This window comes from Homo sapiens, chromosome 12, assembly GCF_000001405.40.
Source record: "Homo sapiens chromosome 12, GRCh38.p14 Primary Assembly".
NCBI lineage: Eukaryota > Metazoa > Chordata > Mammalia > Primates > Hominidae > Homo > Homo sapiens.
Window position 1 is genome coordinate 31,897,308 of NC_000012.12, and position 15,189 is coordinate 31,912,496.

Below are 15,189 nucleotides of genomic sequence, written 5' to 3' on the forward strand. Positions count from 1 at the left end.
GAGTTCAAGACCAGCCTGGGCAACACAGTGAAACCATGTCTCTACTAAAATACAAAAAATTAGCTGGGTGTGGTGGCATGCACCTGTAGTCGCAGCTACTTGGGAGGCTGAGGCAGAAGAATCGCTTGAACCCAGGAGGCGGAGGTTGCAGTGAGCTGAGACTGGGCCGCTGCACTCCAGCCTGGGCAACAGGGCGAGACTCCATCTCCAAAAAAAAAAAAAAAAGAAATAGTTGAAGAAACACACTCAGAATAGAAGAACCAAATTGAAAGTGTCCATCATAATAGATGAAAATTGTCCTGCACTAAAGCATATGATTGTGAAATGTAAAATATCTAGGACAAACAGGAGATTCTCAGGCTTCCAGAAGGGGTAGAAGGGTGGCACAAAAGGGTGGTGGGGGAGTCGGAATTGGATTGGGTTTCTCAGCAGCAACACAGGAATAAGAAAAGAAACAAACTAAAAGAGGAAGGTGTGGCTTTCTTTTCCTCCGGGACACAGAAGGTCGTCCTTCCTACCTACTGGCTGCCCTCGGGGGCAACCCCTTGCCCAGCACCAAGGACGTCAAGAAGATCCTGTACAATATAAGCAATAAGGCCAATGGCAACCAGTGCAGCAAGATCATCAGTGAGCTGAATGGAAAAAACATTAAAGGTGTCATTGCCCAGGGTATTGGCAAGTTGCCATTGTGCTCTCCCACAAGGCTGTGGCCGCCTCTGCTGCCCCGGCTCTGTAGCTCCTGCTGCTGGCCCTGCCCCTACTACAAAGAAGAAGAAACATGAGAAGAAGGAGTCCCAAGAGTCACATGGTGACATATGATTTGACTTCCTGCTCCCCTGCCAATTCCCCTGGAAAGAAAGAAAGAAGGGAGGGAGGGAAGGAGGGAGAGGAAGGGGAGTGGGGGAGGGGAGGGGAGGGAAAGGGAAGGGAATAGAAGAAACAGGAGAGACGCAAAGTGATGGCGAAGGAAAATCACAGGATCAAAAACAGCAAATGTAGAAAGCAACTGATCCGGACTGGGAGAGGCATAACTCAAAAGACAGGCATGTTGGGGATTTGTTATCCACCATTTAAAAAGATAAAGCCATTCTTAGCCCATGGGTCATACAAAAACAGGCTGCAGGTCAGTTTTCTGACCCCGATCTAGTCAATAAAAAAGAAACAGGATGAACTGACACTAATTTCTGGAAAGAAGGAAGGAAGGAGGAAAGGAGGCAGGAAGGAAAAAAAAGAAGAAAGGGGCCAGGCGTGGTGTCTCACCCTTGTAATCCCAGCACTTTGAAAGGCCAAGGCGGGTTGATCACGTGAGGTCAGGAGTTTGAGACCAGCCTGGGTAACATGGTGAAACCCCGTCTCTACTAAAAATACAAAAATTAGCCGGGCATGGTAGTGCACCCCTGTAGTCCCAACTACTCGGGAGGCTGAGGCAGGAAAAACACTTGAACCCGGGAGTCAGAGGTTGCAGTGAGCCTGGATGGTACCACTGCATTCCAGCCTGGGTGACAGCAAGACTCCGTCTCAAAAAAAAAAAAAAAAGAAGTAAGAAGTAAGGAAAGAACAAAGGAAGGAAGGAAGCAAGAAGGAAAGAAAAAGAAAGAAAAAGAAGAAAGGAAGAAAAGAAAGAAGAAAGAAAAGAAAGAAGAAAGAAAAGAAAGAGAAAGAAAGAAGAAAAGAAAGGAAGGAAGGAAGGAAGGAGGCTAGGTAGAGGTGTGACCCTGGTATTGATAAAGAGATAGGGGAGTGGTCAAAGGCATTTCCCTACATCATACTGTAAGGAAAATTCCTGGGTGAGCCCACAGAAACGACAGGTTAATCCAAATTATAAACTGAGTAATCTCATTGTAGAGCCTTTGCATAAATCCAGGATACCTAGTTATCCAATAGTCTCCCTGGCCAGATTGCCAAAGCTTTCGCTGCTCTGGGTCTTCTTCCTCATTGTAGTCCCTGTCATCAGGGTTTCCACAGCACTCAACTCATTCTCCAAGCTTTGACTGCAGTATTCTTCAGGATACATCATCAATCATCTTCCCTCTGCCTTGACATGGTGCTTGGCACTGTGACCCTTGACACAATGTTAAGTGCCTTGACATATTGCTACACTCCCCAAATAAGACTTACTTCAAGTGAATATACATTAGATATCTGCAGGAAAAATGAAGAAGAGCAAGACAGCAACCATCCCTTCCCTTTAAGAATTCCCTTCAAGAACAAGGATTTTTCTCCATATAACAAGAATGTGATTGCAAATTGCTTCACAAAAAAGTAATCTGGCAGAGCTGTAATCTCCACTGGCCTCTCCAAAAAGCCACAAATAAAATAGCCTTTGATATAGACAATAAATTGTAAATATCAGTAGAAGCTTCCTTAGAAGCTATCTTGATGATAGACACTGACTTTTTTGTTTATTTTTATTTATGTTATTTCCATTGCATTATGTGGCAAAATATTTCACATTAATCTAACCATCAGTCTGCTTTCTATCACTATATACAATATTTGCCTTTTCTAAAATTTTATAAATGTGGAATGATATCGTAGAATCTTCGGTGTCTGGCTCCTTGTATTTAGCATAATGCTTTTTTTTTTTTTTTTTTTTGAGACAATCCTGCTAGGCTGGAGTGCACCAGTGTGATCTGGGCTCGCTGCAACCTCTACCTCCCAGGTTCAAGCGATTCTCGTGCCTCTGCCTCCAGAGTAGCTGGGATTACAGGCGCCCACCACCACACCTGGCTAATTTTTGTATTTTCGGTAAAGACAGACTTTCACCATGTTGGCCAGGCTGGTCACAAACTCCTGACCTCAAGTGATCCACCCCACTCGGCCTCCCAAGGTGCTGGGATTACAGGTGTGAGTCACCACACCCAGCTGTCTTCAGCATAATGCTTTCGAGATTCATACATGTTGTGATGTGTATTGGTAGGTTTTTTGTTTGTGTGTTTCTATTTTGTTTTGGCTCACAAACAGAAAAATCTAAAGTAGCTCTTTTTGGTAAGTAGCTTTGCATTGTATGGATGTAAAACAGTGTATCCATTCACCAGTTGGTTGTTTCCAGTTGGGAGATACATACTATGAAAAAAACTCCAATGAACAGTTGCACACAAGTCTTTGTGTGGACATGTTTTCATTTCTTTTGGGGAAGTACGTAACAGTTGGATTGCTGGGTCATGTGGTAACTCTGTCTTTCACATAATCAGAAACCACCAAACTCTTTTCAAAGTATTCATACCACTGTGGTTTGTGTCCCTCCAAAACTGATGTTGGAATTTAATTACCATGGCGACTCTATTAAGAGGTGGGACCAGGCTAGGCATGGTGGCTCACGTCTGTAATCCCAGAACTTTAGGAGGCCAGCGCAAGAGGATTGCTTGAGGACAGGAGTTCAAGACCAGCCTGGTCAATGTAGTAAGACCCCATCTGTACAAAACATTTAAAAATTAGACAGACATGGTGGCACACACCTGTGGTCCTAGCTACTCAGGAGGCTGAGGTGGGAGGATACCTTGAGCTCAGGAGGTCAAGGCTGCAGTGAGCCATGATCATGCCACTGCACTCCAGCCTGGGCAACAGAGCAAAATCTTGACTCTAAAAAAAAAAGGGGAGGTGAGAATTTTAAGAGACAGACCTTAAGCCCTCATGAATGGATTAATCTTTTCATGAATTAACAGATTAGTGGGGTTATAGTGGAAGGGAATAAGTTATCTCAAGAGCGGGTTTGTGATAAAAGCCAGCCTTGCACTCTTCTTATCCTGTGATGCCTTCACATGTTATGACACAGCAAGAAGGCCCCCTGCAGTTGTGACTCCTTGTCCTTGAATCCAAGCACTTGCCAGTTTCCAGAACTTTACCAAATACATTTCGTCTGGGTGAGGTGGCTCACACCGGTAATCCCAGCACTTTGGGAGACCAAGGCGGGTGGATCACTTGAGGTCAGGAGTTCAAGACCAGCCTGGCCAAATGGTGAAACCCTGTCTCTACTAAAAATACAAAATTTAGCCGGGCGTGGTGGTGCCTGTAATCCCAGCTACTTGGGAGGCTGAAGCAGGAGAATCCCTTTAATCCGGGAGGTGGAGGTTACAGTGAACCGAGATTGCGCGGCTGTACTCCAGCCTGGGTGACAGAGTGAGACCCCTTCTTAAAAAAAAAAAAAAAAAAGCCAGTCTCTGTGGCTCACGCCTGTAATCCCAACACTTTGGGAGGCCGAGGTGGGCGGATCACGAGGTCAGGAGATTGAGACCATCCTGGCTAACACAGTGAAACCGCCGTCTCTATTAAAAATACAAAAAATTAGCTGGGTGTGGTAGCAGGTGCCTGTAGTCCCAGCTACTCGGGAAGCTGAGGCAGGAGAATGGCGTGAACCTGGGAGGAGGAGCTTGCAGTGAGCCGAGATGGCGCCACTGCACTCCAGCCTGGGCGACAGAGCGAGACTCTGTCTCAAAAAAAAAAAAAGAAAGAAAGAAATTTTGTTTTATTATAATTTACCCAGTCTAGGGTATTCTATGATAGCATCAGAAAATGGACTAAGGAACATACCATTTTCATTCTTACCGGCAATGTTCCTGATGCTCCAAATTCTCTTCCACGCCTGATATTGTTAGTCTTTTTAATTTGAGTCATTTTAGTGGGTGTGAAGTATAGTTTTTATTTTCTTATTATTATATTTCCATAAGTTATTGCGGTACAGGTGGTATTTGGGGGGGTGTGAAGTATATTTCCTCATGGTTTTAATTCACATTTCCCCAATGACCAAGTGATGTGGAGCATCATTTCATGTTGGTTTTTTGCCATTCACATAACTTATTTGGTAAAATGTATGTTCACATTTCTCTCTTGTTGTTGATCATTCTTGCCAAATTTTGTGTAGTCTTTTAAAATAACTGCTTTGTTCCTTTTACTTTGGATTTATTTTCTGTTTTTCTGACTTATTATAAATGATTACTTACTAATATAAGTCTTTTAAGTTTATACATTTATTTTTTGTTTGTTTGTTTTTGTTTTTGTTTGAGACCGAGTCTCGCTCTGTCGCCCAGGCTGGAGTGCAGTGGGGCTATCTCGGCTCACTGCAACCTCCGCCTCCTGGGTTCAAGTGATTCTCCTGCCTCAGCCTCCCGAGCAGCTGGGATTACAGGCACCTGCCACCACACCGAGCCATTTTTTGCATTTTTTAGTAGAGACAGGGTTTCGCCATGTTGCCTAGGCTGGTCTGAAACTCCTGACCTCAGGTGATCCGCCCTCCTCAGCCTCCCAGAATGTTGGGATTACGGGCATGAGCCACTGCGCCCGGCCAAGTTTATACATTTCTTTCTACACACTACGTAGCTGCATCCCACAGTTGTCATCTGTAATACTTTTTTTTTTTTTTTGAGACAGAGTCTCGCTCTGTCGCCCAGGCTGGAGTGCAGTGGTGCCATCTCGGCTCACTGCAAGCTCCGCCTCCCGGGTTCACGCCATTCTCCTGCCTCAGCCTCCCGAGTAGCTGGGACTACAGGCGCCCGCCCCCACGCCCGGCTAATTTTTTGTACTTTTAGTAGAGACGGAGTTTCTCCTTGTTAGCCAGTATGGTCTCGATCTCCTGACCTCGTGATCCGCCCGCCTCGGCCTCGCAAAGTGCTGGGATTACAGGCGTGAGCCACCGTGCCCGGCCGTCATCTGTAATACTGTTTATTACATTCAAAATGTTTAATTTGTGTCTTTCTTATTTCCTAGCACATAAAGGAAATTTTTTAGCTTTTTTTATTGTTTATTTGTAGCTTAATAGCATTATACATAGGCATACCTTATTTTATTGCACTTCATTTTATCATGCTTTCTAGATTGTATTTTTGTTACAAATCGAAGGTTTGCGGCAACCTTGTGTTGAGCAAGTATATCAGTGCCATTTTTCCAACAGCATGTGCTCACTTTTGTGTCGTTGTGTCAGCATTTTTTACTGATAAACTATTTTTAAAATAAGGTATATTTTTAGACATAATGCCATTGCATACTAAATAGACTACATTATAGTTTAAAAATAACTTTATGTACTAGGAAACCAAAAAAAATTGTGTGACTTACTTTACTGTGATGTTTGTTTTATTGCAATGATCTGGAACTGAACCTATAATATCTCTGACATGTGCCTATGGTCAGAGAATGTCCTCATTTTAATTCTGTCAATTTTCTTGAGATTTGATTTACAGACAATCTGTCTTCAATTAATAAAAATTTTGCGTGCTTAAAAAGAATGTGATTTTTGCAGTTGTTAGTATAGCGTTCTATGCTTCTACCATAGTAAATATGTAATCATGTTTATCAAATCTACTCGATGAACATTTTCTGTCAATTATTAATTTTCAAATCCTCCAATATGATTGAATATAAATTTGTCTGTTTCTTCTTTTTTTTTTTTTTGGAGATAGAGTCTCACTCTGTTGCCAGGCTGGAGTGCAGTGACGCAATCTCGGCTCACCACAACCTCCACCTCCCAGGTTCAAGTGATTCTCCTGCCTTAACCTCTTGAGTAGCTGGGATTACAGGCATCCGTCACCATGCCCGGCTAATTTTGTATTTTTAGTAGAGATGGGGTTTCTCCATGTTGGTCAGGCTGGTCTCAAACTCCCGATCTCAGGTGATCTGCCCACCTCGGCCTCCCAAATTGTTGGGATTACAGGCATGAGCCACCATACCCAGCTTGTTTCTTCTTGTGATGTTTTTGCTTTATATTTTTTTTAGGCTATGTTTATATGTTTACAACCTATGTATATATGTTTATAACCTATGAATATATCTTAATAAACCTATGTGCATAAGTTTCAGTCTATGTACATAGGTATGTCTATGTACATAGAAAAGAAACCCACACACAGACATAAAATGGTGAAATTTCAGAACAACAATGACAAAGAATGATTATAAAACAGCAGGAGAGAAAGGAGATTATCTTCTTTTTTCTTTTTGAGACAGAGTCTTGTTCTTTCACCCAGGCTGGAATGCAATGGCTCGATCTCGGCTCACTGCAACCTCCGCCTACCGGGTTCCAGCGATTCTCCCTGCCTCAGCCTCCCAAGTAGCTGGGATTACAGGCACCCACCACCATGTCCAGCTACTTTTTTTTTTGTATTTTTAGTAGAGACGGGGTTTCACCATGTTGGCCAGGCTGGTCTCGAACTCCTGACCTCAGGTGATCCACCCACCTTGGCCTCCCAAAGTGCTGGGATTATAGGTGTGAGCTACTGCGCCAGCAAGGAGATCATCTCAAAAGAAGCTGAGTTAGTGACAGCTGGCTTAAAGACAATGTAAGCTGGAAGATAGTGAAATGTTATCTTCAAATTGCTGAGGAAAAGCAACTGAAAATTTGGAATTCTAAACCCAATTAAATTTTTTTTTTTTTGAGCTCAATCTCAGCTCACTGCCACCTCTGCCTCCCAGGTTCAAGTGATTCTCTTGCCTCAGCCTCCCGAGTAGCTGGGATTACAGGCATGTGCCATGATGCCCAGGTAATTTTTGTATTTTTTATAGAGACGGGGTTTCACCATGTTCACCATGCTGGTCTCGAATTCCCGACCTTGTGATCTGCCCGACTTGGCCTCCCAAAGTGCTGGGATTACAGGCGTGAGCCACCTCTCCCGGCCCTAAAATTTGTTTTAATGAAGACAAAATAAAATTGTTTCAGACAAATAAAACTCACTCTTTCGCCAGCAAACTCTCCCTATAGGAAAAATCTAAAGTATATATTTTAGCTAGAAGGAAATTGATCCTAAATGAAGCTACAAGAAGAAACAACATGTAAAAAAGACTTTGGGTAAGTATAAAATATTAACTATAAAACAATGATAATGTTTAGTAATAGTTAAATTTGAAAGAAAAAAGATAATATTAAAACATATGACAGGTCTGTGTTCTGGAGGAGATAAAGAAATAGATTAACTTTGTAATTTAAGTAATCACAATGCAGCTTATAGGGTAACAACCAAAAAAAATCAACCCAAAAAACAAAAGGCAAAAAAAGCATCTCAAACCTGAATAGAGTATTTAACTTCCAAACTAGCAAGGAAGAATATAATTAATACCAAAAAAGAGTCAAAAAAAAAAAATAGGAAGGCCAGGCATGGTGGCTCATGCCTGTAATCCAAGCACTTTGGGAAGCCAAGGCTGGCAGATCACTTGAGGATAGGCGTTTGAGACCAGCCTGGCCAACATGGCAAAATCCCGTCTCTACTAAAAATATAAAAATTAGCTGGGGATGGTGGTACACGCCTGTAATCCCAGCTACTCAGGAGACTGAGGCAAAAGGATCACTTGAGCCCGGAAGGCGGAGGTTGCAGTGAGCCGAGATCACACCATTGCCCTCCAGCCTAGGTGACAGAGCGAGACTCTCTCTCAAAAGAAAAAGAATAGGAAGTGAAAGATAGTATAAACTAGGGCAATAGATTTTTTGAGACTAATTTCATTAAAGGTAAATAAACTAAATGCCTTAGTAGTTGTCTCAGTCAGTTTAGGCTGCTGTAACAAATATATCATAGGCTGAGTACTTAAATAACAGAAATTTATTTCTCACAGTTACAGAGACTGGCTGTTTGGGGTTTGTTTTTCTGTTTCTTTTTCAGAAACAGGGGTCTCACTGTTACCCAGGCTGGAGTGCAGCGGCATGATCATAGCTTACGGCAGCCTTGAACTCCTGGGCTCAAATGATCCTCCCACGTCAGCCTCCTGAGTAGCTAGGACTACAGGCAAACACCACTGCAACCAGCTAATTTTAAAACCTTTTTTGTTACTGTTTTTTTTTTGAGACCCAGGCTGGAGTGCAGCGGCAAGATCTTGGCTCACTGTGACCTCTGCCTCCCAGGTTCAAGCAATTCTCCTGCCTCAGCCTCCCAAGTAGATGGAATTACAGGTGCATGCCATCACGCTCGGCTAATTTTTGTATTTTTAGTAGAGACGGGGTTTCACCACATTGACCAGGCTGGTCTCGAACTCCTGACCTCGTGATCCACCCGCCTCAGCCTCCCAAAGTGCTGGGATTACAGGTGTGAGCCACCGTGCCTGGCCTCATTTCCCCACTTCTACATACCATCTGCCATTTCATTTGGGAATATGCTGACGAATACCTGACACGACCCATCGCCGACTTCTCTAATCACTTCCTACAGCCAGGAGACTGGGTTCTGGTAAAAGATCCCAGTCCTCTCCTCAATCCTCCCCTCACACTTAAATGGAATGGGTCTTACCAGATCATCTTTACTACACCCACTTAAGCAGGAAAAAAAAAGTTTCTTGTACTAGGCTAACTCACTTTGAGGCTCAGCGATAGGCAGGGCTCTGGCAGGGCTTTGATAGCCCTGTCTGCAGAGCCAGGGCCCTCAAGGGATGAGCCCCAGAGCCTCTCCCTCCCATCTTGGAGCAGGGGTGAGAAAAACAAGTTTTTCTCCTCTTTCAGCTTCCCCTTCCCCCCTTACCATTCTCATAATTATTTTGCAAAGTTTTGTAAGTTCCTGTTTTTCCTTCTGTATAAGGTCACAAGATATGTTTAAGTTGCACAATCTGTCACTGTTTCACAAACTGCCTTTGTTCTGCTTCTGTAAGCCTGCTTGCCCGCCCTACAGGTTTTGCACCATCAAACTGGTGAGCCCCTTTTTGGATGCATGTATAGCCAACCCCCTTTTGGATGCATGTATAAAAGTCAAGCCCTGTCTTTGTTCGGGGCTCAGCCTTTGGATGTTAATCCTCTGGGCTGGTACACACCTAATAAATCCTCCTGTCCCACCCATTGGTCTCTTCTGTCCCTTGATTCCTGCAACACCACAGGAGCAAAACCCCAGGGACTCCCCAGCTGGTTTCATTATACATCTCTCAAGACAACAGACTTCACTACATACCAAAACAACCAAATCAAAACCCCCTTCAGCCTTCTCTTGTGTCTCCACAGGACCCACTTCCCTTCGCCTCACCAAATCCTGGAGGAAAAGGAAGAGAAATTTACATAAGCTGCTATGTCTCTTTCTCTCTCAAACTTTCATTGCTTCCCAACCAATCTTGTTACAGACCTTTATTGGTACCATTATGAAACTCCCATTATCCATCCTGATCAGCTCCTTACTATTCTATGGGACTTACGGCTTCAAGGAATTTTCCAGGACTTTACTCCTACTCAAATAACCTTTTTCTCCTTTTGCTTGTTTCTTTCAATATAAATTCTGTAATCACATCAACCTTACCAATACAACCACTCCTCACTGCTCTCAAACTGGAATGCTCTATAAACCTTACACAATCCCTCATGCTGCAAGCTAACTCTTCCTTTGCTCCAGAATCCTGGATGTGCTTATCACTGTCTTCCTCAGCCTATACAGCCCTTCCTACACCCTTTCATGACCTTTTAACAGGAAACATAACCATAATCTATAAACTCCAAAAAGGAGCTTCCTTTTTTGAAAGAGCTGACGCCCTGGTAGGTGATTATGCCCCTTCCAGGGCCAATCAAGCCAACAAATCATTTCAAACCTATTACAACTCCCTACAATGCCTCAAGCCCCAAGGCCCTCCCATTGAAGGGCCCATAACTAAACACACCGCCCTTTTACAACAAGCCTCACTTTGCTTTTCAGCCTGTGAGGGAAATTTCCCTGTAGGGTCCTTAACACCTAACCAATGCACTATCATTGTTAAACACCCCTCTGACCATCACACTAACCGAGTTGACTATCACATATCACCTGATGCAAATGGGGCATTTCCACAACTGGCTCGTTTTACAGCCTCTCCCTCAACCGATGCCTCTGACCTAATTTGTGCTGTCCCTAGTGCCCGCTTTATTCATGGCTCAATATCAATGGTGCAACATCTGATTGTATTAAATGTATAAAGAATAACTCTTCCTATATCTCTACTATAGTGGATGTCTCTCTGGCCTCCTCCTTGTCCATCTGGAGTAATGAACCACAGGAAAGAAAAGACACTTCAGCCTTAATTCACTTGCTTTCTTTCCATATCTCTGCCTATATTTACAACAAGGCTTATTTTTTATTTTATTTTATTTTTTTTTTTGAGACAAAGTCTCACTCTGTTGCCCAGGCTGGAGTGCAGTGGCACAATTTTGGCTCACTGCAACCTCCACCTCCTGGGTTCAAGTGATTCTCCTGCCTCAGCCTCCCGAATAGCTGGGACTACAAGCGTGTGCCACCAAGCCCGGCTATTTTTTTTTTTTTTTTGTATTTTTAGTAGAGACGGGGTTTCACCGTGTTGGCCAGGACGGTCTTGATCTCTTGACTTCATGATCTGCCTGCCTCAGCCTCCCAACGTACTGGGATTACAGGTGTGAGCCACCGCACCCAGCCAAGTCTTATTATTTTTATATGGAACCAGTACATATCTTTGTCTCCCCACCAACTGTACCAGAACATGTACTCTAGTTTATCTTTCTCCCTGCATTGGACTAATTCCTCCTAGTCAACCTTTGCCCATTCCATCTGCCCAATATGTTAGGAAGAGGAGGGCTTTCCATGTCATTCCCTTGATGGCCACCTTGGGTATAACCGCCGGACTTAGATTGGGAGCAGGCAGATTGGCCACCTCCTTAACATACTTTAAAGCTCTTTCAACAGAACTACAGCGTTCTTTAGAAGATACAGCCCAAAGTCTTATAAGAGTCCAAGACCAACTAGACTGCTTGGCTGGAGTAATCCTCCAAAATAGAGGGGGACTAGATCTTATAATGGCTGAAAAAGGAGATCTTAAATGGCCTCTGCCTCTCGTTGGATGAGGAATGTTGCCTATACCTCAACCAATCAAGCCTAGTAAGAGATGCTGCTGAAAAACTTACAGAAAGGGCTAAAAGACTAAGGGAATACCAAAACAACCAAATAGATTGTTGGTTTTGGAACAAAATCACAACATGGGTCATCCCATTCCTGGGCCCTCTCCTAATGATGTGCCTAGGACTAATGTTTTTACCCTGCCTAATTAACCTTTTTCAAAGATTTTTAACTGACAGGATCATGGCCATTTCACAGACAACTACCCAAAAACATCTACAGACAGCATTAGTCCTACAGTCAATCTGAGATCAAAGAACTCTCCGCACTCCTCCCCTTAGCAGGAAGTAGCCAGAAAGAACACACCGCCCCTTGTCCTTCTATAACTATAGGATCTGGATTGACAGAGCAAGAGCATCACCATCTTGGACAAACACTGCCATTTTAAGTTGCCCTTGATTAAAAAACGCCTAATCCAGCCCCAGAAACATCACCCTAATGGCCAATGTCAGCATGACCATTAAATGACACCTCCAACCGGAAATGTTCCAACCCCAAGATAAATCCCCCTCCGACCAGAAACATGCCAACCCCACAATAAAACTCTCCTCCACCCAGAAATATTCCAAATCTGCGATAAGCTCTCCCTCCCTAAACCCTTAAATATTCTTAGTCTATAAGAGAGAAGGCCCCGACCTAAACCAGCCAGAATCCCCTCTCAGGTTTATTCTCCAAAATACACTTGTCTGTGATTATTGAGCCCCTTTTTGTGTTTCTTTCTTCTTCCTTAAACCCTTACAGTTGTATTGATTATAGAGGCAATAGTGGATCATAGAACTATGCCTTGTGTTAGTTACAGAGACTAGAGTAGCTTGTCCTGGCAAGACTGTTGCTGACTAGCTGCGTTTCAGACATTGAGCTGTCTCTGATTAGTTGGTTTTTGAAGACATTTTCACCAAAGCAAGCTGCCATTGATTTCAGTGGGTTAAGCCAGTTCTGCTACTTACTTGTTACTATGGCTGTAGAACTTTTCCTAATAACATAAAGACTTTTTAATATTCAGCTCTCTATCTTAAGGATATTAACCATTTGTCATCTTGTTTAAATTTTTGTTCTCTATTTGTCTTTTAATTTGAGGATTCTTTAAATGTAAAAATCTATAGTTTGTAAAATCTCCTTACCATCTTTTTTTTTTTTTTTTTGGGTCATTTTCACTCTTGTTGCCCAGGCTGCAGTGCAATGGCACAATTTTGGCTCACCGCAACTTCCACCTCCTGGGTTCAAGCAATTCTCTTACCTTAGCCTCCCGAGTAGCTGGGATTACAGGTATACCCCAATATGCCCAGCTAATGTTTTGTATCTTTAGTAAAGACAGAGTTTCTTCATGTTGGTCAGGCTAGTCTCAAACTCCTGACCTCAGGTGATGCACCTGCCTTGGCCTCCCAAAGTGCTGGGATTACAGGTGTGAGCCACCACGCCCGGCCACCATCTTTATACTTTCTATTTTTTTGGTTTAAAATCTTTCATTATTCATAGCATGTGATGAGAGACTTTACACTCTATATCATTCTCATTTTCAAAGCAACCATAGACTATATTGATTCATAATAGTTTTATGTCTATGTATCTTGCTTCCCCAAAGATTCCAAACTCCATGAAGCCAGGGTTTAAACAATTTTTACTGCCTACATCATATATTATGGTGTATGTGAGGTATGTGAGGCTGCAGTGTAAGGCCTGAACTGGAATGGTAATAAGTAAGACTGGGAAAAAAAATAGACCAGCCAGTAGGGTATGAGTTTGGAAGGGTTGATGTAAACCAAGGACAAGTTGGATGTGGGAAAAGACTCAAGAAGAGGTAACTGAGGCAAGATGGTTGAAATATAAAGATTGGTCATATAAAAACATCCCATAACAAGTAAACTTAATAAATCCCTAGGGAGGATTAGGAAACTGAGGACTTAGGTTGCAGCTTTATTTAATGGCTACTTCTGAAGTTAGTGGACAAAAGCCACCATAATTAACATGCTTACTCTAGGGTGGTCCTTAAAGTTACATAAATCCCCAAGCCATACCTAGGACATCCTCAGGGTAATCAAAATCACAAGGTGTTTTCCTTTCCCCAAAAGATTTTCAAAAAAAGTATACATTTCATATTAAGTTATTGCCATCCATTTGTTTTTTGTTTCTGAGACAGAGTTTGGCTCTTGTTGCCCAGGCCGAGTGCAACAGCATGATCTCTGCTCACTGCAACCTCTGCCTTCTGGGTTCAAATGATTCTCCTGCCTCAGCCTCCTGAGTAGCTGGGATTACAGGCGCCCACCATCACACCCGGCTAATTTTTGTATTTTTTAGTAGAGACGGGGTTTTGCCATGTTGGCCAGGCTGGTCTCGAACTCCTGACCTCAGGTGATCCACCGCCTTGGCTTCCCAAAGTGCTGGGATTATAGGTGTGAGCCACTGCGCCCGGCCATTGCCGTTACTTTTAATGTCAAAAACCACAGTTACTTTTGCACCAAACCCATTAAAAGGCAGCATTGTTTTCACCCAGACTTCTCATTATGTGAGATAAATTTTTTCATGATAATGAAAGAAAGAGGAGGAAGGAAGAAAACAGGGAGAGAAGGGAGGAAGGCAGACAAAAAGAAGAAAAAAGGAAAAGGCAAGTAGCCTAGAAATGAAAAGTCATATTCAGTGGCCTGACAGGTATGAAGGAGGAAGCACAGAGTCTGGGTTTCCTTGAGGGCTTCCAGTTAAGGGCTAAATGTATAATGCTGCTGTTCAGGGATGCAAAGATATTTAGAGGCCACCTAGTTCAACCCCATCGAGACCATCCTGGCTAACACGGTGAAACCCCGTCTCTACTAAAAAAATACAAAAAAAAATTAGCCGGGCGTGGTGGCAGGTGCCTGTAGTCCCAGCTACTCAGGAGGCTGAGGCAGGAGAATGGCATGAACCCAGGAGGCAGAGCTTGCAGTGAGCCGAGATGGCACCACTGCACTCCAGCCTGGGCAACAGAGCGAGACTCCACCTCAAAAAAAAAAAAGAAGAGACAGGCCGGGCACAGTGGCTCACGCCTGTAATCCCAGCACTTTGGGAGGCCGAGGCGGGCGGATCACGAGGTCAGGAGATCGAGACCATCCTGGTTAACACGGTGAAACCCCGTCTCTACTAAAAACACAAAAAATTAGCCGGGCGTGGTGGCGGGCGCCTGTAGTCCCAGCTACTGGGGAAGCTGAGGCAGGAGAATGGCATGAACCCAGGAGGTGGAGCTTGCAGTGAGCCGAGATAGCACCACTGCACTCCCACCCGGGTGACAGAGCGAGACTCCTTCTCAAAAAAAAAAAAAAAAAAAAAAAAAAAAAAAGAGATTACTACTCTGTTGCCCAGGCTGGAGTGCAGTGGTGTGATCACAGCTCACTGCAGTCTCGAACTCCTGGCCTCAGTCAGTCCTCCCACCTCA

At 43.5% G+C, this 15,189-nt stretch overlaps 1 pseudogene, besides 1 other annotated feature; it reads left to right on the plus strand.

The window, feature by feature from the left end:
- RPLP2P4 (ribosomal protein lateral stalk subunit P2 pseudogene 4) lies at nt 513-822 on the plus strand (annotated as a pseudogene).
- Nucleotides 9,664-9,813: an enhancer, noted in NCBI's record as "active region_6179". NCBI's record gives its function as "activates an Ori minimal core promoter by ATAC-STARR-seq in GM12878 lymphoblastoid cells {active_cell/tissue: GM12878}" and the evidence as "EXISTENCE:reporter gene assay evidence [ECO:0000049][PMID:35858748]".